Consider the following 24911-nt stretch of genomic DNA (forward strand, 5'->3'; position numbering starts at 1 on the left):
GTTAACATTCCCTCTGATATGGATTCTAGCTCATAGAAACTGCTAGAGCCTCCAGCCCTTCCAGATGCCCCAGTCCTCTTGGAAGCTCCCTATCTTCTAGAGCAGTGCTGTCCTAAAGAACTTTCTGGAAATGTGCTTTATCTGCAACATCCAAAATAGTAGCTGCTAACCACATGTGACTATAGAGTACTAGAAATATGGCCAGTGAGAATGAGGATTTCTTTTTCATTTTTATTTTTTTGAGACAGAGTCTCGCTCTGTTGCCCAGGCTGGAGTGCAGTGGTATGATCTCCGCTCACTGCAGTCTCCACCTCCTGGGGTCAAGCGATTCTCCCACCTCAGCCTCCCAAGTAGCTGGGATTACAGGTGCCTGCCACCACACCTGGCTAATTTTTGTATTTTTAGTAGAGATGGAGTTTCGTCATGTTGGCCAGGCTGGTCTTGAACTCCTGACCTCAAGTGATCCACCCACCCTGGCCTCCCAAAGTGCTGGGATTGCAGGCATGAGCCACCACGCCTGGCCTATATATATATATTTTTGAGACGGTCTCGCTCCATCACCCAGGCTGGAATGCAGTGGTGCAATCACAGTTCACTACAGCCTCGACCTCCTGGGCTCAATCAATCCTCCCACCTCAGACTACTGAGTAGCTGGGACTAGAGGCACGCATCACCATAACAGGCTAATTTTAGTATTTTTTGTAGAGACGAAGTTTCAACATGTTGCCCAGACTGGTCTCGGACTCCTGGGCTCAAGCAATCTGCCTGCCTCGGCTTCCCAAAGTTCTGGGATTAGAGGTGTGAGCCACTATGCCTGGCCCTAAATTTTTAATTTAATTTTAAACAATTTAAATTTTAATCAAGCTAAATGTGACTAGTGGCTGTCATATTGGACAGAATGATTCTAGAGCCCCCAACCTTTTCAGAGATTCCAACTTTCAAGAATCCTGTGTCCTTAAAGAGTCCAACTCCTAAGATTCCAGCCTTCTAAGTGTTTAACATCCTAGGATGCAAAGAGTCTGAACATTTAAAAGTGCTCTAGGTTCCGGGTGCAGTGGCTCACACCTGTAATCCCAGCACTCTGGGAGGCTCAGGTAGGAGAATCACTTGAGGGCAGGAGTTTGAGACAAGCCTGGCCAACATGATAAAACTCTGTCTCTACTAAAAATACAAAAATTAGCCCAGCGTGTTGGCACATGCCTGTAATCCCAGCTACTCGGGTGGCTGAGGCAGGAGAATCACTTGAACCCAGGAGGCGGAGGTTGCAGTGAGCCGAGATCACCCCATTGTACTCCAGCCTGGGCGACAGAGCAAGACTCCATCTCAAAAAAAAAAAAAAAAAAAAAAGAGGCCAGGCGCAGTGGCTCACGCCTGTAATCTGAGCACTTTGGGAGACCGAGGCAGGTGGATCACGAGGTCAGGAGATCGAGACCATCCTGGCCAACATGGTAAAACCCCATCTCTACCAAAAATACAAAAATTAGCTGGGCGTGGTGGCGCACACCTGTAATCCCAGCTACTTGGGAGGCTGAGGCAGGAGAATCACTGGAACCCAGGAGGCGGAGATTGCAGTGAGCTGAGGTCATACCACTGCACTCCAGCTTGGCAACAGAGTGAGACACTGTCTCAAAAAAAAAAAAAAAGCGTTCTAGGATTGTATGGTTTGTGTTCTTCTATCCTTCAGGGACCATCTAGGTGGACCTTGTAACCAGCCGACCCACAGCCACCCCCTTGGTCACAGCTCACCCTCTCCAGCCCATGCCCTGACCTTCCTTCTGGCTCATGTCCTCACCTGGTACAGCTCCACGTGCTGCTCCACTTTTAACTTGAGCCTCAGCAGACGCAGCTCTGCCCGGGAGAGCAACACGGGTTCAGGTACCGCTTCTCGGAGCTCTGATGTGTTGAAGAACATATATATGCTGTGTGTACTCTGCTTGAACTTGTCATAGATTTCTAGCAGGGAGAAATGAAGGGAGGCGATCAGGGGTTTGGCAGAGGTGAGGGGAGCTGGTGCTCCCAACTCTAGGAGTTTTGGAGCTGACAGCTCTGGGGTGGAGTCAGTCTCTGATACCTTTTATTTATTTATTTATTTATTTATTTATTTATTTATTTATTTAAATGAATTTTTTTTTTTTTTTGAGACGGAGACTCGCTCTGTCACCCAGGCTTGGAGTGCAGTGGCGCAATCTCTGCTCACTGCAACCTCCGCCTCCAGGGTTCAAGCAATTCTCCTGCCTCAGCCTCCCGAGCAGCTGGGACTAAAGGCTCATGCCACCATGCCCAGCTAATTTTTGTATTTTTAGTAGAGATGGGGTTTCACCATGTTGGCCAGGATGGTCTCGATCTCCTGACCTCGTGATCCACCCGCCTCGGCCTCCCAAAGTGCTGGGATTACAGGTGTGAGCCACCACGCCCAGCCCTGACTGTGATACTTTTTAGCTGTGTGACCTTGAGGAAGTGGTTTCTCCCCCTAGGTTTGTTTCCTCCTCTGTAAAATAGGTCCTAACCACATTCCTCTCTCATGTAGCATCATCTCTCAAGTCGACTAAGGCTGGCACCAAGGGGAACCACTCTGTTTGCTCTGGCCTTCCTTGCCCCAAATGCAAGAGCCCCTAAAATGCAGAGTAAGGATCAAAGGCACAGGCTTTGGACTCAGATAGTGCCTCTGCTGCCTCTTGGCTGTGTGACCATGGGCAGTTAACACCCTCTTTCTGAATGTCAGTTTCCTGTTATTCTTTGAAAAACAGCAATAACATTAAGCTCCCTGCATTCCCACACAGACTCTCCTAATTTAAGCGCTGTGTAACCTTGGGCAAGTGAATTCCTCTCTCTGAGCCAGGTGTAAGACAAGACAGAGTGACTCTAGAACCCATTCCAGTATTATAGTGGGAAATTAGATGACCCAGGTCAAGCCATGTGGCACCAATTCTGCATACACTGGTCACTCAATCATGTATACGTCTAAGAGTGCTGGCTGGGCGCAGTGGCTCACGCCTGTAATCCCAGCACTTTGGGAGGCCGAGGTGGATTGATTACTTGAGGTCGGGAGTTCGAGACCAGCCTGGCCAACATGGTGAAACCCCGTTTCTACTAAAAATACAAAAATTGGCCAGGCATGGTGCCGGACGGCTCTAATCCCAGCTACTTGGGAGGTTGAGGCATGAGAATCGCTTGAACCTGAGAGGCAGAGGTTATAGTGTGCCGAGATTGCGCCACTGCACTCCAGCCTGGGTGACAGAGTAAGACTCTGTCTCAAAAACAACAACAACAAAAAACCACAAAACAGCGCTATTTACCAGATGCTATCTAAAGCACTTTACAAAGATGAAGACATTTAAACCTCACAACCTTATACTATTATTATACCCGTTTAATAGATGAGAAACTGAGGCACCGAGATTAAGTAATTTGCCCCAAGGTCACATAGCTGCAGACTGGGATTCAAACTCAAGCTGTCTCATTCCAGAGACTGTGCTTTTTTTTTTTCTTCCCCCAAGAGACAGGGTCTCACTCTGTCCCCCAGACGGAAGTGCAGTAGCACAACCATGGCTCACGGCAGGCTGGAACTCCTGGGCTCAAGGGATCCTCACGCCTCAGCCTCCCAATATGTTGAGATCACAGGCATGAGCCACCACACCCACCCAGCTAGAGACTGTGCTCTTAACCCCTAAGTGATTCTTCTACTTATTTTTATTATTAGTTTTCCACCCTTAACTCCCTTCCCCAGCTGGTTAGGGAAAGTGAAGTTCATTCTGGGTAGGAATGGCTGTAGTGGGGAGAAAAGGAATTAAGGTGTTTTCTTTTCTTTTTTTTTTTTTTTTTTTGAGATGGAGTTTCTGTCGCCCAGGCTGGAGTGCAGTGGCGCGATCTTGGCTCATAGCAACCTCTGCCTCCCAGGTTCAAGCGATTCTCCTGCCTCAGCCTCCCAAGTAGCTGGGATTACAGGCGCCGCCCGCCACCCCGCCCAGCTAATTTTTGTATTTTTAGTAGAGACCGGGTTTCACCATGTTGGCCAGGCTGGTCTCCAACTCCTGACCTCAGGTGGTCCACCCACCTTGGCCTCCCAAAGTGCTGGGATTACAGGCGTGAGCCACCGCGCCCAGCCAAGGTATTTTCTAGTTTAGGAAAAGTTTGGGGATGGGGATGAGGGAACAGGCCATGAACTGCTGGATCAACTGGGGCAACTGCTTCCAGCCTCCCATAGTGGGGGTGTGAAAAGAGACTGGTGAGAAAGGCAGAGGAAACCCCTCCCCTACGGCCCCCTTCGATCCTCCTCCTCCTCCCCAGTCTCCCTCCCCACCCAGCCCCAGTAAGCCCTATTCTTGGCCCGGAGGTTACTCAGCAAACCCCAAAGGAAAGGCAGAGCCTTGGCTGGGGAAGACAGATAGGGAGGAAGACAGAGAGGAGGGAGAGGAAGGGTTGGAGGGTGATGCAGAGAGGGAGAGGCGGGGAGATGTCAGAGACGGAGACGAGGCAACAGGACCGTGGAGGAGAAAAATAGAAAGGGAGAGAAAATAGTCGGAGAGACAAAAACCAGGAGACCCATGCGTGGACAGAAAGACTAACGGAGACGAAAAGAAAGAGGCAGATGGGGAGACACGTGCGAGACGAGACACATGTGCATTTGTTGGGGAGAAGAGGATTGGAGGTGTCAGTGTTAAAGGAACCTCTACAACGAAGGTGAAGCCACGGAAGATAAGGTAAGGCTGAGACTTGGGTGCGGAGTGCGCGTCATTGGGCTGGAGCTGTAAACTGGCGCAGAAATGGGCAGGGAACCCGCAAGCCCACACCGCCCAAGAGTCAGTGAAACCTGAGGGATCTTCCCCAAGGCTCTGAACCACGCGGGACGCCTGGGTCCTCGCATGGATGCCGACGGGGCCGGCTGAGTGGGAGCCCCGCCCGTAGCTGGGGTGAGGAGGGCGGGAGGCGCCGCAGCCAGGAGGGCGGGGACCAGACCTGCCCCGTCTCGCCCCGGGCTCCGCGAGCGATCCCCGCCTCCGCCGGGGGCATGGGAAGGAAAGGGAAGGGAGGGGGATGAGGCCGCCGGACGCTGGGGTTTCCCCAGCCACCCTGAGAGGAACTGGGACTTTGGGGTCCAGACTGCCAGCGTTTAGCGCAGCGGGGTCCTCCTGCCCCTTGGTGGAAGCGCAGGCTCCTCCCCCCGCGCGTGGCACCCACGTGGGGCTTTCTCACTCCTCCCAGCTTGGTTTTCTCACCTCGGTCTTGTAGAGTCACCCCCCACCCAGCACTTCCCCTGCGGCTGGACTCCGCTCAGCCCATTCCCCTGCATCCTGCGGGGAATGCAGCGTGGATGGCGCTGGGTATCTCTCCTCCTCCCCGCTCACACCACCTTTCCCACGCCTGTCTCCCCTCTCGGTAAAGCCCTTCCCATGACCCAGGACTCTAGGTCTTCTGGAAGCTCGATTCCTCCGCTGGGCTCCCCACTCTGTCCCTCACGTCCCTGTGTGAAACACCGAGGACACCTCTGCATCCCGGGCGCCCTCCCGAGTCTCCGCTCCTCTCCCGCTTGCCTCCTCCTTCCAATAACCTCCCGTCCCTTTCTCCCCACATTTATCACACGCACCTCTGTTTCTCTTTCTACGACTCTCCCCCACCCCCGCATCCCGCGTGTTCCTGGCAGCCTCTGGAAGTGGGTCCGCTCTCACTTTCCTGGCACCCTCTGGGGTTGCCTTCATCTAGCTTTTCTGTCCTTCTTGAATCTTTCCACCTCAGGACCCCCAAGCTCTGGGTCAACTTTCTCCAGCGCCTCTCCTTTCCCAAATGCTGGGGTCTTCGCTTCTCCCACACCAGGCTCCCTTCTCTGCACCTGGCACCCCACGACCCCCCCCCCCATTCAACGCGTCCTGGAAGAGGGAGCCTTCTACCCTCCCCCTATTGCTTGTCTCCCTCTAGGGGACTGCCCCCACGACCCCGCATGTTTCTGTCGCACTCTAGAAGCGGTCCACTTCGCTATCTCCTCCTCTCCAAGACCAGACACCTGGGTGGTAGGGGGCTCAGTGCCATCCTCTTTCGGACACCCCCCTCCCACCATCACACGTTCCCTTTGCCCCGGGGTGTCCTCTTCCTCCAGCCAGTTTCTTCTGCCAGTCACTTCCTACCCGTGGCCCCGGCACTCCGGCGCCCCCTGGGGGCCCCCCTCCCGGCTCCCCTGCCCCTCCGAGCTCACCGTTGTGGGTTTCCACCATTAGCACGCGGGTGACCTCCTTGGCGTAGTAGTCGGCCTCAGGCTCGGGCTCCGGTTCTGCACTCTCCCCGGCCACCCGGTCGCGGGTGCTGTTGTACAGGGCGAGCACGGCCTCGGGCAGCGGGCCGGGCGGCACCTCCCCCTGGCTCGGGGGGCTGGCGAGCCGCAGCTTGGACAGGATCTGGCCGCGGATGGCCTCGATGCGCTTCCGCTTCACCAGCTCCATGTCGATAGTCTTGCAGGTGGATAGTCCCGCGGCCGGCCGGCCAGGCGTCAGCACCAGTAGCCACAGCAGCGGTAGCAGCAGCGGCAGCAGCCGCAGCCCGGAGGGCGGCATGGGGGAGGCGGCGCCCCCCGGCACTGCCGAGAGCGCGAACAGGGCTGGTGTGGTGGGGAGGCCCCGCCCCTGCAGGGGCTGGGGGTCTCCCGGCAAAAGGTAGGAGGGCCTCGAGGGAAAGCTGAGGTCCTCAGGGAGAAGGGCGCAGTGGTGGAGGGGAGGCTTGGACCGGGGGTGTCTCAGTATCCCACGGAAATAACCTAGATGGGCGCGATCTGGTACCAGAAGGTGGGTGGTCTTGAATAGGGGATCTGTGGCAGGTCGGAGAGAGATCCGTCTCCTGGAGGAGAAAGGGTCTAGGATGCGCGGGGGCTCAGGAGACAGGCCGGGGATGAAGGCGGCGTGCAGGGGGTGCGCCCGAGGTCTGGGGAAAAGTCTTTGCGGGAGGCCGGGTCGGCGACTCCCGAGGGCTGGTCCGGAATGGGGGCGCCTGAGGGACGCCGTGTAGGGGGCAGGGAGGGAGCAAGCGTCCCCGGCGGCAAAGGGAGGCGGTCTGGGGTCCCCAAGTCCTGCCTCCTCGCGGGGCAGCGTCGCGCCAAGAGGTCCCCGCGCCTCCGGCTCCCAGCGGCAACGGAAAAGTCTCAAAAGTTTTTTTCCTCTTCTCCCGACCAGCTCGTCCCTCCTCCCGCTCCTCCTCCCCCTCCTCCCCGCAGTGGCGGGGGCGGCGGCGGCTCGTCTCAGACTCTGGGGCCTCAGGCTGCTCCTCGGCGACTCCTTCCTCCGCTCCGGGCCGAGGCCGGCCCCGCGGGCGGCTCAGAGCCGGGGGGGTGCCCCGGACGGGGCGTCCCCCCTGCCCCCGGCCGGGGCCCTCGCTGTCTGGCTGCTCCGCGGAGGGAGGTGGGAGGGAGATGGCCCAGGGCGCGAAGGGCGGCGGCGGCGGGGACCGGCTGGGTCGGCAGGGGGTTTTGAAGCCGCCCCCGGCCCCACCCAGGAAGCGCACGGGGCGGGAGCGGGGGCGGCCCCCAGGGGGAGGGCATGGGGGGGCTGGGCCACCGTCCTCATCTCGCGTGGGCGGGCTCCGAGGGGGGTCCCTTCAGCCCTGGGGGAAAGGGGGCGGGCACCCCGGCTCCGCCCCGCAAACAGGGTGCTGCCTCCTGGCGGCCAAGCGCCACCAAAGCGGGTGATCCAGATGCGCTGTGGCTTTGCGGGCGGTGTGGGTCACCAGAGAAAGAGGACCAGGCGGAGAAGGCTTAATCCGGGGGATGAGACACAGGGGAGCCGACCAGAGGAGGGGGACCCAGAACGGAAGGAGAGTCAGGCTGGGAAACAAGGTAGGAGAAGAGGGTCTGTCAACATGGGGGCCTCCGGAGGGTGTCAGTGGGAGGAGGGGGCAACAGGACACCTGAAGGATGGAAGGGTCAGGAGGCAGACACCTGTAAGAATTGCTCTCCTTTACTGAGCACCTCCCATGTGGCTAAGCAGCCTCCTGTCACTCAACACCCTGCGACCCCATACATTTACTGTCCCCAATTTACAGATAGGGAAACTGGGCCCAGAGGGACCCCGAGGTCCTAGAAAGGACAGAAGCGGTGCCATGCCTTAGCTGGGGTCAGCTCTGACAGTCTCTAGAGTCTGTGCTCTTGACCACTGTGCCATCCTCCCCCATCACTGGGTGTCCGGGGTGTGGATGGTGGTGACGTTGGAGGCAGAGTCCCTCAGCACTCCACGCCGTAGCGGTCGAAGTTGCGGAGCAGCAGGCCGATCTCCAGGTGCACGGTGCCACCAGCAGCTGTGTGCAGGCGATAGCGGTCGGCCCCACTGTAGATGGTGTCCCCATGCAGCAGCTGCGGCCCACCACCCACGAAAGCCCGTGCCAACTGTTCTCGCCAACTGCCCAGGGGCCGCCACGTGGGGCAGGCCAGCTGGTGGGTGCCCGGGCTACTGGGCACATGGCAAAATCCATAGCCTGCAAGCTGGCAGCGGCCAAAGCTGTCCTGGGACCACACCTGGAAATGGAGCCGGGGCCAGCCTGCAGGAAAGGAGAGAGAGGGGAAAGGAGGGATGGGTGGGGACCAGACTCCTGCTGATTCCCCACTCCCTGATACTCACTGGAGACCCCAGGCCCAGTCTTTTCCTCTCTGGGTTTCTGTCCCAGAGTTTCCAACCCAGCCTCCTTTCTAGGCTCCCACCGTCTTATCTATCCCCACACAGCAGCCAAAGTGATCTTTCCAAATCCATGTTACTCCCCTGCTAAGGATCCTTCCATAGCTCCCCAGTGCCCTCAGTATAAAGTCCAACCTCTTCAACATTCAAGGCCCTTCTAATCAGACCTCTGCTGAATTTCCTCTCTGTGTTATCCTCCTCCATGACCCCATGTCAGGGCAGCCCATTGCTCCTCCAGTCCCCAGGTAACCATCATGGGCCTTGTCAGGGACACCTCCTGCCTTCCCTCATGTCCCTGCCCTGCTCTCTTTGGGCCCAGGGCCTTCTTTCTTGCCCCTCTCTAATCCACCTTCCACCTGGCATCTGGAAGCATCTTTCTCTCCTTCCATAGCTTTGCCCATGTCCTCAGAACACAGTTCAGCTCCTCAGTCTGGTAGTCAAAGCCCTTGGAGATCCAGCCCCATCTCATCTCATGCTGATCCCTTCTCCTGTGCTAGACTCTGTTCTAGCTAGCTGGGGACACGGCAGACATGAACATGGATGGCAGACAAAAATTCCTGCCCCCGTGAAGCTGATATCCTAGACAACGAATGTAGTAAATAAGCAAATTATAGGGTAGATCAGATGGTGGTAATTGCTGTGAGGGAAAACAGAGCTGGGTAGGGTGAGGGTGGGGATACCGCTTTAGCAAGAAGGGGATCAAGGAAGCTTCATTAAGAAGGTGACATTTGAGCAAATGCTAAAAGGAAGGAAGGGAGTAGGCCATGTGGCCATCTAGAGGAAGAGTGCTCCTAGCCAGAGGGAACAGCAAGTGCCAAGGCCCTGGGGGGGGACTGTCTGGTGGGGACAGTATGGCTGGAGCCCAGACGGAGTGTGCCTGGTGGGGACAGCATGGCTAGAGCAGAATGAGGTGGGGAGACGGGAAGGAGGTGCCAGCCTGGTTGTGGAGAGCCTTGTGATGCATGCTAAGACTATGGCTTTCACCCTGAGTGAGATGGGGACCATTGGAGGGTTCTGAGCAGAGCAGAGATGGGACCTGACTTAGGTGTTCACAGGGTCCCAGCTGCATGTGGGGTGCAGACCAGGGGGGTTGGGGAAGGGGACTCCAGAGACAAGATTCTTGTCATAGTCCATGTGAGAGAAGAACTTGGACAGATCAAGGTGCTGGGCGAGAAAAGGGTAAGAAGTGGGATTTAGGATGTATTTCAAAAGTAGAGGCAGTTTAAGATTTCCTGATGGACAAAATGGGGGCTTGAGAAAAGAGAAAGCAAGGCTGGTGCCACCACTGGGGGACTGGAGGCCCCAAGAGCTGAAAGGTTAGAGCTGCCCACCTCACCCACACAGCACCGGAAAGATTTTTTTTTTCCCCAGCTCCAGCTTAAAAGACAGAAAGATTATTTAAAAGTGAAATCTCAGCCAGGCGCGGTGGCTCATGCCTGTAATCCCAGCACTTTGGGAGGCCGAGGCAGGTGGATCACCTGAGGTCAGGAGTTCGAGACCAGCCTGACCACCTTGGTGAAACGCCATCTCTATTAAAAAAAAAAAAGGCAAAAATTAGCCAGATGTGGTGGCACGTGGCTGTAGTCCCAGCTACTCGTGAGGCTGAGGCAGGAGAATTGCTTGAACCTGGGAGGCAGAGGTTGCAGTGAGCTGAGATCTTGCCACTACACTCCAGCCTGGGCAACAGAGTGAAACTCTGTCTCCAAAAAAAAAAAGGTGAAATCTCACTTGTCCATTACCTGCTCTGGCTCCCAAGTGCCTTCAGGAGATGGCCTCAGCTCCTCAGCCTGGCACTCAAGGCCCTGCATGGCCTGTCCCCTTCTGCCTTTCCCCTCTGCCGTCCCGCTCTCCCTCAATCCACTAGATGCCCTTGGCTCACTTTCCCCTTTGAGTCTTCCACGTAGCTCCCTCTGCCTAGAACCTTCTTCTATCCCTCTGCCTTATTAGCTCCGCTGGCCCTTCACAGCAAAGTTCAGAAGCCCCCTCCTCCAGGAAGCCCTCTCTGACCTCCCTGACAGAGTCAGCCACTTCCTCTGGGCTCCCACAGCCTCTCCAAATCACCTATCTTAGTCCTGCCCACTCTGAGGTGCCACTGTCTGGAGAGAGGTGTGTCCCCCCATAGGACGGTGAACCCTGTGAGGACAAGGCTAAGGGACACTGCCTTGATCCTCAATGTCTCCCTGGCATCACCCAACACAGGCTGGACACAGGGCAGGTACCAGGTAGACGTTCTTTATATTGGTGAAATATATGGCACATTTACCTAGGCAATTTCTCAGAATCAACTCATCTCCAGGAACCCACATTTTCTACTAGAAAGGCTTTCTGATGCCGCTCCTCCCCCAGTACTGATTTCCCCTTTGAGCAGCAGCTCTACTTTCAAGCCGAGGAGCCCTTCCTGGAGAAACAGCCCTTGCCTCTCTCAGACCCTGCCTCCCGGCTTCCTCTTTATTGGAGACTCTCGTTTTGTCTCTTTACTTGAATGCCACCTCCCCTCCCACCCTGACCCCCCACCTTCCCACCTCCTGCTCCACCCTGGCCTCTGCCCTAATCATACAAACTTGGGATCGCCTATTGAGCAGGCCTGGGAAGGCCTTAGCTCAGCCTCTCCAGGGCCAGACTTGGCTGCAAAAGGGACCTACGTGGTATGGGGAGCAGGGACAGGTCTTGGTGTTCCCAGCCCCAGGGACCTCAGAGGCTACTGGCCCCCTCCCCTCAGCCTGGACCCGGGTCCAGGTGTGATACCCACCTTGAAGACCTTTGGTGGCGAAGTGCAGGTCGATGGGGTGGGACCAGTAAGCCATGTCCCCTATCTGCGGGGTGTCCACTTGCGTTTGGCCCTCCCGCACGCCTGACAGGAGCTTCCATGCCGCCCCTGCAGTGAGAGCCGGGACATAGAGGGGTGGGAGGCAGCCATCGGGAAGGGGATGCCGCTGTGGCTATAGGACTGTTTCTCTGTGGCATCTACTGGTAGGGGTTACGAAGCATGGACTCTGGAACCAAGTATCTGGGTTCAAATCCTGGCACTACCTCTTCCTGCCTCTGCAACCTTGGGCAAGTTAGCTTTCTCTGCCTTGGTCTCCCCATCTATAAAATGAGCTGAGTAATAATGCATTCCTCATTGTCTTCATTTGTTTTCTGTTACTCTTAACATAATATCCAAAACTGGATAATTTATAAAGAAAAGGAATTTCTATCTCACAGTTATAGGAGACTGACCAAGGTGGAGGAGCCCCATCTAGTAAGAGCCTTCTTGCTGGAACTCTTCAGAGAGTCCCAAGGCTAGTGTGCTAACATGCCACTCACGTCTCTCTCTCTCATTTTATAAAGCCACCACTTCCTCTCCCATGATAACCCACTAATCCATTAACCCATTAATCCATGAATGGGTAATGAGCATAGTGAGCACGGGATAAGTCTTCAATATCATTTTATTACGATTCTCACCCCATATTTTCAAGCCTAGTCCAAGGATTAAGATGGGGCCAAGGGTACCCTCCAGGAGCGCATCCTGAAACACACATAACAATTTCGATCCTACTGAGGGGTGATAATGATAGCTAAAATGCACTGAGTGGTAGGATACAGTGGCTCACACCTGTAATCTCAGCACTTTGGGAGGCCAAGGCAGGTAGATCCCTTGAGTCCAGGAGTTCAAGACCAGCCTGACCAACATGGCAAAACCCCATCTCTACAAATAATATAAAAATTAAGGCTGAGCGCAGTGGCTCACACCTCTAATCCCAGCACTTTAGGAGGCTTAGGGGGGGGTGGATCATCTAAGGTCAGGAGTTCAAGACCAGCCTGGCCAACATGGCAAAACCTCGTCTCTACTAAAAATACAAAAATTAGTCTGGAGTGGTGGCAGGTGCCTGTAATCCCAGGTACTCGGGAGGCTGAGGCACGAGAATCGCTGGAAAAGCTGCAGTGAGCCGAGATTGCACCACTGCACTCCAGCTGGTGTGACACAGTGAGACTCCATCTCAAAAAATGAACAAACAAGCCAGGCGCAGTGACTCACGCCTGTAATCTCAGCACTTTGGGAGGCTGAGGCGGGCTGATCACCTGAGGTCAGGAGTTTGAGACCAGCCCGGCCAACATGGCGAAATCCCATCTCTACTAAAAATACAAAAATTAGGATGGGCGCAGTGGCTCACATCTGTAATCCTAGCACTTTGGGAAGCCAAGGCAGGTGGATCACTTGAGGTCAGGGGTTCGAGACCAGCCTGGCCAAAATGGTAAAACTCTGTCTCTACTAAAAACACACACACACACACCCACAAAATTAGCCACGTCTGTAATCCCAGCACTTTGGGAGACTAAGGCAGGCAGATCACAAGGTCAAGAGATCGAGACCATCCTGGCCAACATTCTGAAACCCTATCTCTACTAAAAAAATACAAAAATTAGCTGGGTGTGGTGGCGCACGCCCATAGTCCCAGCTACTCAGGAGGCTGAGGCAGGAGAATCACTTGAACCCAGGAGGCGGAGGTTGCAGTGAGCCAAGATGGTCCCATTGCACTCCAGCCTGGGCAACAAGAGCGAAATTCCATCTAAAAAAAAAAAGAAAAGAAAAAAAGAAAATGCACCGAGTACTAACTAAATCCCAGATGCTATGCTAAGTACTTTAAGCATCCATTCATTTAATCCACCCTCTAGGACTCTTAATCCCCTCCTCACCCCCCAGTTTACAGACCCTCCACCATGGCCCACGTGGCCTGGCTCTTGCTCCCCTCCCTGAGTTCATCTCCCATCACTCTCCCCCTCCCTCATCACCCTCTGGCCTCACTGTCCCACTTCTGACTCCCCACCTCAGGGCCTTTGCACTGGCTGTTCCCTCTGCCTAGAAAGCTCTGCTCCTGGGTGTCCCCATCCCTAGCTTTTGTTTTCATCCTTCAGGGCCCAGCTCAAGTGCCACTTCCACAGAGGGGTTCTCCCTGACCCTCTTCACCAAACACTAGTCCCTGCCACATCATTTCTTTTCATCCTAGCACTTACCACTGTCTGGAATCACGGTGCTCCTTTCTTTTTTTGGGGGGGTGGGGGGAGACAAGATCTCCCTCTGTCACCCAGGCTGGAGTGCAGTGGCACAATCACAGCTCACTACAACCTTGACCTCCCAGGATCAAGCAATCCTCCCACCTCAACCTCCCAAGTAGTTGGGACGACAGGCACACAGCACTATGCTTTGCTAATTTTTTATTTATTTGTAGAGACGGGGGTCTCACTATGTTGCCCAGGCTGGTCTCAAACTCCTGGGCTCAAGTGATCCTCCTGCTCCAGTCTCCCAAAGTGCTGGCATTACAGGGGTGAGTCACCACACCCAACTGCACTCGTTTATCTGTTTATTTATTTTATTTTATTTATTTTTTTTTGAGACAGACTTTTGCTCTTGTTGCCCAAGCTGGAGTGCAATGGCACCATCTCGGCTCACTGCAACCTCCGCCTCCTGGGTTCAAGCGATTCTCCTGCCTCAGCCTCTCGAGTAGCTGGGATTACAGGCACACGCCGCCATGCCCAGCTAATTTTTTTTGTATTTTTAGTAGAAATGGGGTTTTACCATGTTAGCCAGGCTGGTCTCAAACTCCTGACCTCAGGTGATCTGCCCGCCTCGGACTCCCAAAGTGCTGGGATTACAGGCATGAGCCACCGCGCCTGGCCTGCTTATTTATTTTCTGTCTCCCCTACTGTATGGCCCAGGAAAACAGGGACCTTGCACACTGCTGGATCCCCAAGACCACAAACCCAGCTCTTGGTATACAGAAGGTGCTCAATAAATGTTTCTTGGACAAATAAGTGATCCTAGGAGGTGGGAGCTAATATAATCCCCATTTAACAGGTAAAGAAACAGGCTCTGAGAAGGTGAGTTCATGAACATTTATTCAGCACCTGCTATGTGCCAAGCACTGTTTTCCATGCTGGTGACATAGCAGTGACTATAGCAGACCAAGGTCCCATCATGGGACTGGATTCAGACTCAGCTCTAACTGCAGAGCCCAAGCCTTTCATCCAACTGCCTCAGTATTCTTGGCTGGATCAACATCCCCAGCAACTCCCTGAAATAATAAAAATCAGGTTAGTCATTACTCCCTTCTGGGCTGAGTTGAGGGAAGCACCAGGCCCTGCGTCAGGCTCCTTAAAAGCAAGATTTCCCAACAGCCCTATGAAGAACAAATGAGGAAACTGAGGCTCCAAGAGGGGACAGCCTCTGCCCAGGGTCACAGAGAAGGTGAGTGGTCCAACCTGGAAACCAAGTCTGACTCCAGAGCCTGCCCCTCATCCATCAGCTGGAGGGTTCCGATTTCCTGGGAATTTCAACTTCCACCTCACTTACCTGTAGAATCAAAAAGGACCCAGGGGCCAGGCGCAGTGGCTCACACCTGTAATCCCAGCACTTTGGAAGGCCTACGCAGGCGGATCACTTAAGGCCAGGAGTTCGAGACCAGCCTGGCCGACATGGTGAAACCCCATCTCTACTAAAAATACAAAAATTAGCTGGGTATGGTAGCGGGTGCCTGTAGTCCCAGCCACTCGGGAGGCTGACATAGGAGAATCGCTTGAACCCAGGAGGCAGAGATTGCAGTGAGCCGAGATCGTGCCACTGCACTCTAGCTTGGCTACAGAGTGAGACTCTGTCTCAAAAAAAAAAGGGCCAGGCGCAGTGGCTCACGCCTGTAATCCCAGCACTTTGGAAGGCCTACGCAGGCGGATCACTTAAGGCCAGGAGTTCAAGACCAGCCTGGCCGACATGGTGAAACCCCATCTCTACTAAAAATACAAAAATTAGCTGGGTATGGTAGCGGGTGCCTGTAGTCCCAGCCACTCGGGAGGCTGACATAGGAGAATCGCTTGAACCCAGGAGGCAGAGATTGCAGTGAGCCGAGATCGTGCCACTGCACTCTAGCTTGGCTACAGAGTGAGACTCTGTCTCAAAAAAAAAAAAAAAAAAAAAAGGGCCAGGCGCAGTGGCTCACGCCTGTAATCCCAGCACTTTGGGAGGCCGAGATGGGCAGATCACAAGGTCAGGAGATCGAGACCATCCTGGCTAACACAGTGAAACCCCATCTCTACTAAAAATACAAAAAAAAAAAAAATAGCCGGGCATGGTGGCGAGCGCCTGTAGTCCCAGCTATGCAGGAGGCTGAGGCAGGAGAATGGCATGAACCTGGAAGGCTGAGCTAGATTGCACCACTGCACTACAGCCTGGGAAACAGAACGAGTCTCAAAAAAAAAAAAAAAAAAAAAAAAGGGACTAGGACTCAGGCCTGAAGACATGATAATGCCAAATGGCCACATCTGTTTCATAGACATTCATCTGTGCCACGCAACAACATACCCCAGGCTTTACAAACAAGACCCCATCAAAGTCTTGTATAAGCCAGGCAAACACTGAATGAGCACTTCCTATTCCAGCCCTATTCCTATTCTAAGTGCTGTTGATACTCGTTTAGTACTCATGACAACTTCAACAGGTAAATATTTCTATGACTCTCATTGTACAAACAAGGAAGTCGAGGTGAAGAGAAGTGCCCAAGTTCACATAATCAGCCCAAGGGTGCCTTAACAAGCAATAACTGGTTTTGAACCCAGGCAGTCTGTGCTCTTAACCTCAAACCTGTGCTGCTTCTTAGCTACTATTAGCTTCACTTTGAAACAAGGAAACTGAGGCTCAAAGTGGTCGAGTCCAAAGGTCTCCAATTAATAGGTGGGGGAGTTAATATTTAAATGCAGATCTGGCAGCCCATGACCCTAACCATTACACTATACCATGACTCTATAGGGCCTCAGTTGGGGAAGCATGAACAAAATTACTTTCCTGGGACGTGGCGGCTCACGTTTTTAATCCTAGCACTTTGAGAGGCTGAAGTGGGTGGCCTGTTTGAGCGCAGGAGTTCGAGACCAGCCTGGGCAACATAGCGAGACCCTGTCTCTACAAAAAATAAAAAAAATTAGCCAGATTTGGTGGTGCGTGTCTGTAGTCCCAGCTTCTCAGGAGGCTGAGGCGGGAGGATCACTAGAGCCCGAGAGTTCGAGGCTGCACTGAGCTATGATCACACCACCTTACTCCAGCCCGGGCGCAGAGAGAGACCCTGTCTGTATCCCACCCCTCACACACACAAAGATGGGAGCTTGAGACTCATGTGGACAGGGTGTGGGCTGGGCCTGGAGTACTGAGAACTGATGGAAATGAGGTTAAGAGTCTGCGTTAAGGGGTGGAGGAAGGAGCATGTAGCCTCTAGGCTAGGGGTCTTGGTGTGGAAATGAACCAGGCTTGGGGGAATACCTGTGTGAATGCCCCACTTGCAGAAGAGGCTACTTTCCGAGAAACCGCTGGCCCCTATGATCTGCCCGATCACGTGCACCTCAGCCATGGCCCTGGGAGGGGAAAAATATAATCACAACCCTGTGAGGTAAGTGTATTATCTCCATTTGACGGGGGGGAAACTGAGGCCCAGCAAGTAAAGGGTAGTACTAGGATTCCAAGCTAGCTTCGTCACACCCCTGAGGCTGAGGTCTTGACCACAGATCCTAATTGCCAACCCATGAAAGCCTGGAAAAAATGGGGGGACCCTTGTCTGGGGAACCAGCATTTAACTCTGGGAAGTCCAAAATAACCTTTTCGGGTTCAGGTCGGCGGAAAGCCCCGCCCGAAGGGGCTATGGCTCCGCCCACGAGCGCAAAAGACCCGCCTTCCGCGTCACGCCAGCCACCCCGCTTCCCTCCCCCAGCAAGCTCCATAAGGCGCATGCGTTATGAGTTCAGGTCCGACTTAACCCCGCCTCTAAGCGCAGCGCATGCGTCATTCCTACCTTAGCGCACTTAACGGTTAGGAGAGGAGAAAGCGGCAACCGGGGTTGTAGTTCATGGGCTTGACTGCTTCTTTTCTCCGCGGGCGCCGACCAGGCCTGGCTCGCGCCTCTCCCAGGACCCGCCTGGCTGCGAGATATGTAAGCCGCGATACTTCCGCGACCGCGCTCGTCTTGGTTTCCGTGGTTGTTGCTGGGGCAACAGCAGGCTCCTCCCCTAGCTTTGTACTCGCTCTGCGCGCTACTAATTGGTGCTAGCCGTCTGCGGGGGGCGGGGTGAAGCTGTGATGGACATTTTCCTCCTCCGCTCCATTTTGGGAAAATAGCGTCTCTCCAGCTACGGCAAAGGGTTCCGCCATTTTGGGCGTGGCTAGGAAGCTGCCATGTTGAGTGTGGCTGAGGAAGTTTGAGTGCAGTTTCTCCCAGATACCTTCTTTACCAAAAAAGCAAATCCCTAACTGCTCCGTGCTGCGCCTACCCCACCGAAGAGCTCTCTGTGGTCCGGGATCACAAATCAGAGATTGAACCAGGACCAAGGGGGAATTCCTTCCAGGACCTCGTGTACATCCCCGGCCTTGTAACTGGAAAACAAAGCAAAAAAATCACTCCTCATTCAGAGAGTGGAGAAGTTGGGGAGTGGGTTCTGCTTCCGTTTTAGAGTTCCCCTAGGTTTCTCAAGGACAAGGAAGGAAGGAAGTTGGATAAGTCCAACTTCCTTCTCGGAGCTACTACCAAGTTCACTGTTACTGCTTGATTCTGAGCAAGGAGCGGTTGGGGTAGCGAAGAGAAATGAGGAACTAAGATTCCCTTATTTGCAGAAAATCCTCTTTCCTATTGATTGATTTATCAATCAAGAAATGGAGATGTTGTCCCTGGATGCCATCCTAGATGCCATCATTTCCCACATCAAGCCAGTCATCAGGTCCCATCAAGGCTCCTTAAAAGGGTCTCACTCTGTCACCCAGGCTGGAGTACGGTGGCTCGATCACAGCTCATTGCAGCCTCTTAACTCCTGGGTTCAAGGGATCCTCCTACCTCAGCCTCCCATGTAGCTGGTATCACAGACATGCACCACCACGGCTGGCTAATTCTTTTTTTTTTTTTTAAGAGATGGAGTCCTGCTATGTTGCTATGTTGCCCAGTCTTGTCTTGACCTCCTGGGCTCTAGCTATCCTCCCAGTTCTCCCTCCCAAACTGCCGGGATTACAGGCGTGAGCCACCCAGCCAGGCCAATAGATACAAAGTATTTACAAGCTACCATTGGCTAGGCGCGGTGGCTCATAACTGTAATCCCAGCCCTTTGGAAGGCTGAGGCGGGAAGAGCTCTTGAGGCCAGAAGTTCGAATATAGGGAGACCCCATTAATAATGCATATATCAACTAGTGAAGTATTCCATTGAATTGTTTAATATAAATGTTATCCTATTGAAATGTTGTACCCTCGTTATAATTTTGGTTTTTTACTTTTTGAGATGGCGTCTCCCCCTGTCATCCAGGCTGGAGTGCAGTGGTGCGATCCCAGCTCACTGCAATCTCTGCCTCCCGGGTTCAAGAGATTCTCCTGCCTCAGCCTCCCGAGTAGCTGGGACTACAGGCGTGCACCACCACACCCAGCTAATTTTTGTATTTTTAGTAGAGACGGGTTTTCACCATATTGGCCAGACCGGTCTCAAACTCCTGACCTCAGGTGGTCCACCCGCCTCAGCCTCCCAAAGTGCTGGGATTACAGGCGTTAGCCACCGTGACCGGCCGGGTTTTTTTTTTTTTTTTTTTTTTTGACAGAGTCTCCCTCTGTCGCCCAGGCTGGAGTGCAGTGGCATGATCTCTGCTCACCACAACCTCCGCCTCCCAGGTTCAAGCAATTCTTCTGTCTCAGCCTCCTTAGTAGCTGGGATTGCAGGCACCCACCACTATATCTAGCTAATGTTTGTGCTTTTAGTAGAGATGGAGTTCCACCATGTTGGTCAGGCTGGTCTCGAACTCCTGGCCTCATGTGATCCTTCTGCCTCAGCCTCCCAAAGTGCTGGGATTACAGGCATGAGCCACCTCGCCTGGGCCCAGCTACTTTTTGTATTTTCTTTTTTATTTTATTTATTTACTTTTTTTTTTTTTTTTTTTTGAGACAGAATCTTGCTCTGTTGCCCAGGCTGGAGTGAGCCTCTGCACCTGGCAGAGGTTTCACTTTTAAATGATCTTTCTGTCCTTTAAGCTGGAGCTGGGGAAAATGTATTTATTTATTTATTTATTTCTGGATGCTGTGTGGGTGAGGTAGACAGCTCTAACCTTTCAGCTCTTGGGGCCCCTGGTCCCCTAGTGGTGGCACCAGCCTTGCATTCTCTTTTCTCAAGCCCCCATTTTGTCCATCAGGAAATCTTACTGCCTCTACTTTTGAAATACACCCTAAATCCCACTTCTCACCTCTTTGTCGCCCTGCACCTTGATCTGTCCAAGTTCATCTATCACCTGGACTATGACAGGGACCTTGTCTCTGGGGTCCCCTTTGCCAACCCCTCTAGTTTGCACCCCACATGCAGCTGGAACCCTGTGAACACCTAAGTCAGGTCCCATCTGCTCAGACCCGTCCAGTGGTCCCCATTTCACTCAGGGTAAAAGCCAAAGTCTTATCATGCATGACAAGGCTCTCCACAACCTGGCTGGCACCTCCTGCCTCATTTTTGTATTTTTAGTAGAGACGGGGTTTCGCCATGTTGGCCAGGCAGGTCTCAAACTCCTGACCTCAGGTGATCTGCCCACCTTGGCCTCCCAAAGTGCTGAGATTACAGGCATGAGCCACTGCTCCCGGCTGAGGTCTTCATTCTGAAGGCTCCCATGTATACATGTTAAATAAAAGAAAATAAATTATCGTCAACTATAAATAATGAGATTCAGAAAATATGATTGAGGCCGGATTCGGTGGTTCATGCCCGTAATCCCAGCACTTTGGGAGGCCAAGGAGAGTGGATACCCTGAGGTCAGGAGTTCGAGACCAGCCTGGCCAACATATAGCGAAACCCTGTCTCTACTAAAAAATACCAAAACTAGATGGGTGTGGTGGCACATGCCTGTGGTGTCAGCTATTTGGGAAGCTGAGGCAGGAGCATCACTTGAACCTGGGAGGCAGCAGTTGCAGTGAGCCGAGATCACGCCACCGCACTTCAGCCTGGGCGACAGAGCCAGACTTCTACTCTCAAAAAAGAAAAAAAAGAAAAGAAAGGAAAATATGATTAACTATAGAGTTTATTCCAGGCTACAGGACCAGTACATATGTTACAACAGTTTCATTAGTACATCTTGCTATGCTGCAGGGAAGATTGCGTTAACATTCTGATAGGAGGAGGAGTACTCTTTCTTTCTTTCTTTCTCCTTTCTTTTTTCTTGAGATAAGATCTTGCTCTGGGGCTGGGCGCGGTGGCTCACGCCTGTAATCCCAGCACTTTGGGAGGTTGAGGCGGGCAAATCACGAGGTCAGGGGTTCAAGACCAGCCTGGCCAACATGATGAAACCTCGTGTCTACTAAAAATACAAAAATTAGCTGGGCATGGCGGCGGGCGCCTGTAATCCCAAGTACTCGGGAGGCTGAGGCAGGAGAATCACTTGAACCTGGGAGGCGGAGGTTGCAGTGATCTGAGATCGTGCCATTGCACTCCATCCTGGGGGACAAGAGTGAGACAAAGTCTCAAAAACAAAACAAAACAACAACAAACAGATCTTGCTCTGTTACCCAGGCTGGAGTGCAGTGGCACAATCACAGCTCACTGCAGCCTCGAACGCCCAGGCTCAAGCCTCCTGCCTAAGCCTCCCCAGTAGCTGGGACTACAGGCGTGTGCCACCATGCCCAGCTAATTTTTCAATAATTTTTTCTGTAGAGACATGGTCTCACTCTGTTGCCCAGGCTTGTCTCAAACTCCTGGGCTCAAGTGATCCACCTCTGCCTCCCAAAGTGCTGGGGTTACAGATGTGAGGCCACAACACCCGGCCTAGGAGTAATGTTCTGAGGTGATCTTATCTCTGGCACTGCTTGGTCATTCTTAATCATTTACAGGAAAAAGCAGAAGTTGTAACTGCATGCTACGTGACTCAGGCTACATAGCAACATTCCTCTCAAGGCTTGGAATAATTTAAAGTTCCAACAGCTTTAAGTTTGAATTATCTAACCACATTATCGAAAGTTGGCCAGGCCTGGTGGTTCATGGCTGTCTGTAATCCCAGCACATTGAGAGGCCACAGCAACAGGATCACTTGAGGCCAGGAGTTCTGGACCAGACTAGGCAACGTAGTGAGACCCTCATTTCTACGAAAACGTTTAAAAAAAAAATAGCAGGGCATGGTGACACATGTCTGCAGTCCCATCTACTTAGGAGGCTGAGGCAGGAGGATCCCTTGAGCCCAGGAGTTTGAGGCTGCAGTGAGCTGTGATCATGCCAAGGTACTTCAGCCTGGGTGACAGAGTGAAAACCTGTCACCTTTTTTTTGGGGGGGGTGGTTATTGGGTTTTTTTGAGACAGAGTCTCGTTCTGTGGGCCAGGGCTCACAGCAACTTCTGCCTCCCAGGCTCAAGCAATTCTCCTGCCTCAGCCTCCCAAGTAGCTGGGATTACAGGCATGTGCCACCACACCCGGGTAATTTTTGTATTTTTAGTAGAGACGGGGTTTCACCATGTTGGCCAGGCTGGTCTTGAACTCCTGACCTCAAGTGATCCACCTGACTCAGCCTCCCAAAGTGCTGGGATTACAGGTGTGAGCCACTGTGCCCGGCCTGAAGCTGTTTTAAAATATATCCACAAATGCTTGGGCAGCCCCCTTTCAGTAAGTGGAGCCTAATTCTCCTTCCCTTCAGTATGGCTAGTTTTTGTAATTTGCTTCTAACCAATAGAATATGGGGCTGGGCACAGTGGCTCACACCTGTAATCCCAGCACTTTGTGAGGCCAAGGCGGGCAGATTGCTTGAATCCAGGAGTTTGAGAGCAGCCTGGACAACATGATGAAACCCCATCACTACAAAAAATACAAAAAATTAGCTGGGTGTGGTGGCATGCCCCTGTAGTCCCAGCTACTCTGGTGGCGGAGGTGGGAGGATCGCTTAGGTTGAGAGTTGGAGGCTACAGTGAGCTGTGATTGTGCCACTGCACTCCAGCCTGGGCAACTGAGTGAGACCCTGTCTCAAAAACAAAATGCTTTTAAGCCAAGTATGGCACACAGCCGGCGGTCCCGGCTACTTCATTTTTGTTGTTGTTGTTGTTTTGAGACAGAGTTTCACTCTTGTTGCCCAGGCTGGAGTGCAATGGTGTGATCTCTCCTCACCACAACCTCTGCCTCCTGGGTTCAAGTGATTCTCCTGCCTCAGCCTCCCAAGTAGCTGGGATTGAAGGCACCTGCCGCCACGCCCAGCTAATTAGTAGAGATGGGGTTTTGCCATGTATGGCCGCGCCTGGCCATCCCGGCTACTTTGGAGGCTGAAGCCGGAGGATGCCTTGAGTGCAGGAAGTCCAGGCTGCAGTGAGCTATGATGGCACCCTGCACTCCAGCCTGGGCAACAAAGTAAGACTGCACCTCTAAAAAAAAAAAAAAAAGGCCCGGTGCAGTGGCTCATGCCTGGATTCCCAGCACTTTGGGAGGCCGAGGCAGGCAGATCACTTGAGGTCAGGAGTTCGAGACAAGCCTGGCCAACATGGTGAAACCCCATCCCTCCTAAAACTACAAAAAAAATCAGCTGAACGTGGTGGCGAGCGCCTGTAGTCCCAGCTACTCGGGAGGCTGAGGCACGAGAATCACTTGAACCCAGGAGGTGGAGGTTGCAGTGAGCCGAGATTGCACCATTGCACTCCAGCCTGGGTGACAGAGCGAGACTCTGTCTCAAAATAAATAAATAAAAATAAATAAATAAGCCTTTTAATTGTGGTAAAATACACATTTACCATCTTAACTGTTTAAAACTGTATTGTTCAATAGTGTTAAGTACATTTACATTGTGCAACCAATCTCCACAACCATTTTCATGTTGCAAAACTAAAATTTTTGCAAAGTAAACACATTTTTGAAACAAAACAACTCCCCTATTCCCCCCTCTTCTGCAGCTCCTGGTAATCACCATCCTATTTTCTTTCAATGTATTTATTTTACTTTATTTATTTATTTATTTTTTGAGATGGAGTTTCACTCTTGCTGCCCATGCTGGAGTGCAATGGCATGATCTCAGCTCAACGCAACCTCTGCCTCCCAGGTTCAAGTGATTCTCCCACCTCAGCCTCCCGAGTAACTGGTATTACAGGCATGCACCACCATGCCTGGCTAATTTTGTATTTTTAGTAGAGACGGGGTTTCTCCATGTTGGTCAGACTGGTCTCGAACTCCTGACCTCAGGTGATCTGCCTGCTTCGGCCTCTCAAAGTGCTAGGATTATAGGCGTGAGCCACTGTGCCCCACCTATTTATTTATTTTTATTTTATTTATTTATTTATTTATTTATTTATTTGAGACAGAGTCTTGCTCTGTTGCCCAGGCTGGAGTGCAGTGGCACCGTGTCAGCTCACTGCAACCTCCGCCTTCCGGGTTTAACCGATTCTCCTGCTTCAGCCTCCTGAGCAGCTGGGACTACAGGCGTGTGCCACCTTGTCCAGCTAATTTTTGTATTTTTAGTAGAGACGGGGTTTCACCATATTGGCCACGCTGGTCTCGAACTCCTGACCTTGTGATCCACCCGCCTCGGCCTCCCAAAGTGCTGGGATTACAAGCGTGAGCCACCGTGCCTGGCCACCTATTTATTTTTTTGAGAGGAAGTCTCATTGTGTTGCCTAGGCTGTGGTGTAGCAACGTGATCTCTGTTCACTGTAACCTCTGCCTCCTGGCTTCAAGGGATTCTCCTGCCTCAGCCTCCCAAGTAGCTGGGATTACAGGCATGTGTCACCACGCCTGGCTAATTTTTGTATTTTTAGTAGAGACAGGGTTTCACCATGTTGGCCAGGATGTACTCGAACTCCTGACCTCAGGTGATCAGCCCGCCTCGGCCTCCTAAAGTGCTGGGATTACAGGCGTGAGCTACCGTGTCTGGCCTGTTTTTTATTTTTTTTGAGACAGGGTCTCGCTCTGTCACCCAGGCTGGAGTGTTCTGGTGAGATCTCAGCTCACCACAACCTCTGCCTCCCAGGTTCAAGCAATTATTGTGCCTCAGCCTCCCGAGTAGCTGGGATTACAGGCATGCACCATCATGCCCGGCTGACTTTTGTATTTTTAGTAGAGACGGAGTTTTGCCATGTTGGCCAGGCTGATTTCGAACTCCTGACCTCAGGTGATCTGCCCGCCTTGGCCTCCCAAAGTACTGGGATTACAGGTGTGAACCACCATGCCTGGCCCACTATCCTCTCCTTCCTTCCTTCCTTCCTTCCTTCCTTCCTTCCTTCCTTCCTTCCTTCCTTCCTTCTTTCCTTCCTTCCTTCTTTCCTTCCTCCCTCCCTCCCTCCTTTC

General features: G+C 52.9%; 3 protein-coding genes across 7 annotated transcripts in view, besides 10 other annotated features; 1 reads left to right on the forward strand and 2 right to left on the reverse strand.

Moving 5' to 3' along the window:
- Nucleotides 1–7420, reverse strand: part of TGFB1 (transforming growth factor beta 1) — a 23600-nt gene extending 16180 nt beyond the window's left edge. For both annotated transcript variants that reach the window (NM_000660.7, XM_011527242.3), the window contains exons 1-2: nucleotides 6188–7420; nucleotides 1793–1953 (exon numbers count right to left, since the gene is read on the reverse strand). In NM_000660.7, the coding sequence (NP_000651.3) occupies nucleotides 1793–1953; nucleotides 6188–6542 (516 nt within the window). In that variant the 5' untranslated portion in view covers nucleotides 6543–7420. The remainder of the gene's footprint in view (nucleotides 1–1792; nucleotides 1954–6187) is intronic.
- Nucleotides 4549–4648: an enhancer, noted in NCBI's record as "active region_14677". NCBI's record gives its function as "activates an Ori minimal core promoter by ATAC-STARR-seq in GM12878 lymphoblastoid cells {active_cell/tissue: GM12878}" and the evidence as "EXISTENCE:reporter gene assay evidence [ECO:0000049][PMID:35858748]".
- Nucleotides 4819–5178: a silencer, noted in NCBI's record as "silent region_10660". NCBI's record gives its function as "represses an Ori minimal core promoter by ATAC-STARR-seq in GM12878 lymphoblastoid cells {active_cell/tissue: GM12878}" and the evidence as "EXISTENCE:reporter gene assay evidence [ECO:0000049][PMID:35858748]".
- Nucleotides 6033–6432: a silencer, noted in NCBI's record as "silent region_10661". NCBI's record gives its function as "represses an Ori minimal core promoter by ATAC-STARR-seq in GM12878 lymphoblastoid cells {active_cell/tissue: GM12878}" and the evidence as "EXISTENCE:reporter gene assay evidence [ECO:0000049][PMID:35858748]".
- Nucleotides 6593–6672: a silencer, noted in NCBI's record as "silent region_10662". NCBI's record gives its function as "represses an Ori minimal core promoter by ATAC-STARR-seq in GM12878 lymphoblastoid cells {active_cell/tissue: GM12878}" and the evidence as "EXISTENCE:reporter gene assay evidence [ECO:0000049][PMID:35858748]".
- Nucleotides 6973–7042: a silencer, noted in NCBI's record as "silent region_10663". NCBI's record gives its function as "represses an Ori minimal core promoter by ATAC-STARR-seq in GM12878 lymphoblastoid cells {active_cell/tissue: GM12878}" and the evidence as "EXISTENCE:reporter gene assay evidence [ECO:0000049][PMID:35858748]".
- Nucleotides 7193–7722: a silencer, noted in NCBI's record as "silent region_10664". NCBI's record gives its function as "represses an Ori minimal core promoter by ATAC-STARR-seq in GM12878 lymphoblastoid cells {active_cell/tissue: GM12878}" and the evidence as "EXISTENCE:reporter gene assay evidence [ECO:0000049][PMID:35858748]".
- Nucleotides 7723–7872: an enhancer, noted in NCBI's record as "active region_14678". NCBI's record gives its function as "activates an Ori minimal core promoter by ATAC-STARR-seq in GM12878 lymphoblastoid cells {active_cell/tissue: GM12878}" and the evidence as "EXISTENCE:reporter gene assay evidence [ECO:0000049][PMID:35858748]".
- Nucleotides 7723–8297: a biological region, named in NCBI's record as "H3K4me1 hESC enhancer GRCh37_chr19:41860203-41860704".
- Nucleotides 7796–8297: an enhancer, noted in NCBI's record as "H3K4me1 hESC enhancer chr19:41860203-41860704 (GRCh37/hg19 assembly coordinates)". NCBI's record gives its function as "activates a minimal SCP1, AML or CMV promoter by ChIP-STARR-seq in naive H9 embryonic stem cells {active_cell/tissue: H9 hESC(naive)}" and the evidence as "EXISTENCE:reporter gene assay evidence [ECO:0000049][PMID:30033119]".
- B9D2 (B9 domain containing 2) lies at nucleotides 7915–17647 on the reverse strand. 3 transcript variants are annotated; one of them, NM_030578.4, is made up of 4 exons: nucleotides 17456–17647; nucleotides 16930–17021; nucleotides 11395–11520; nucleotides 7915–8511 (listed from the first exon to the last, which is right to left on the reverse strand). In NM_030578.4, exons 2-4 carry the CDS (start codon nucleotides 17015–17017, stop codon nucleotides 8198–8200), a joined length of 528 nt encoding a protein of 175 aa, NP_085055.2. In that variant the 5' UTR covers nucleotides 17018–17021; nucleotides 17456–17647; the 3' UTR covers nucleotides 7915–8197. The 3 variants fall into 3 exon arrangements, with proteins under 3 accessions (NP_085055.2, XP_011525651.1, XP_011525652.1); XM_011527349.3 differs by lacking the exon at nucleotides 17456–17647 and adding an exon at nucleotides 17262–17423; XM_011527350.3 differs by lacking the exon at nucleotides 16930–17021.
- The window catches only part of TMEM91 (transmembrane protein 91), a 20137-nt gene continuing 12670 nt past the window's right edge, over nucleotides 17445–24911 (forward strand). For both annotated transcript variants that reach the window (NM_001369864.1, NM_001098825.2), the window contains exon 1: nucleotides 17445–17593. The gene's annotated coding sequence lies outside the window, so the exon portion shown is untranslated. The remainder of the gene's footprint in view (nucleotides 17594–24911) is intronic.
- Nucleotides 17503–17622: an enhancer, noted in NCBI's record as "active region_14679". NCBI's record gives its function as "activates an Ori minimal core promoter by ATAC-STARR-seq in GM12878 lymphoblastoid cells {active_cell/tissue: GM12878}" and the evidence as "EXISTENCE:reporter gene assay evidence [ECO:0000049][PMID:35858748]".

The sequence above is a fragment of the Homo sapiens genome, chromosome 19 (assembly GCF_000001405.40).
Source record: "Homo sapiens chromosome 19, GRCh38.p14 Primary Assembly".
Classification (NCBI taxonomy): Eukaryota; Metazoa; Chordata; class Mammalia; order Primates; family Hominidae; genus Homo; species Homo sapiens.

Coding starts and splice junctions, on each gene's coding strand:
- B9D2 (NM_030578.4), bottom strand. CDS start 17,017: ATGGCTGAGGTGCACGTGATCGGGCAGATCATAGGGGCCAGCGGTTTC. Junction 11,521..16,929: donor CAAGTGGGGCATTCACACAG/GTATTCCCCCAA, acceptor CTCTCACTGCAG/GGGCGGCATGGAAGCTCCTG. Junction 8,512..11,394: donor CGCCACCAAAGGTCTTCAAG/GTGGGTATCACA, acceptor CCTTTCCTGCAG/GCTGGCCCCGGCTCCATTTC.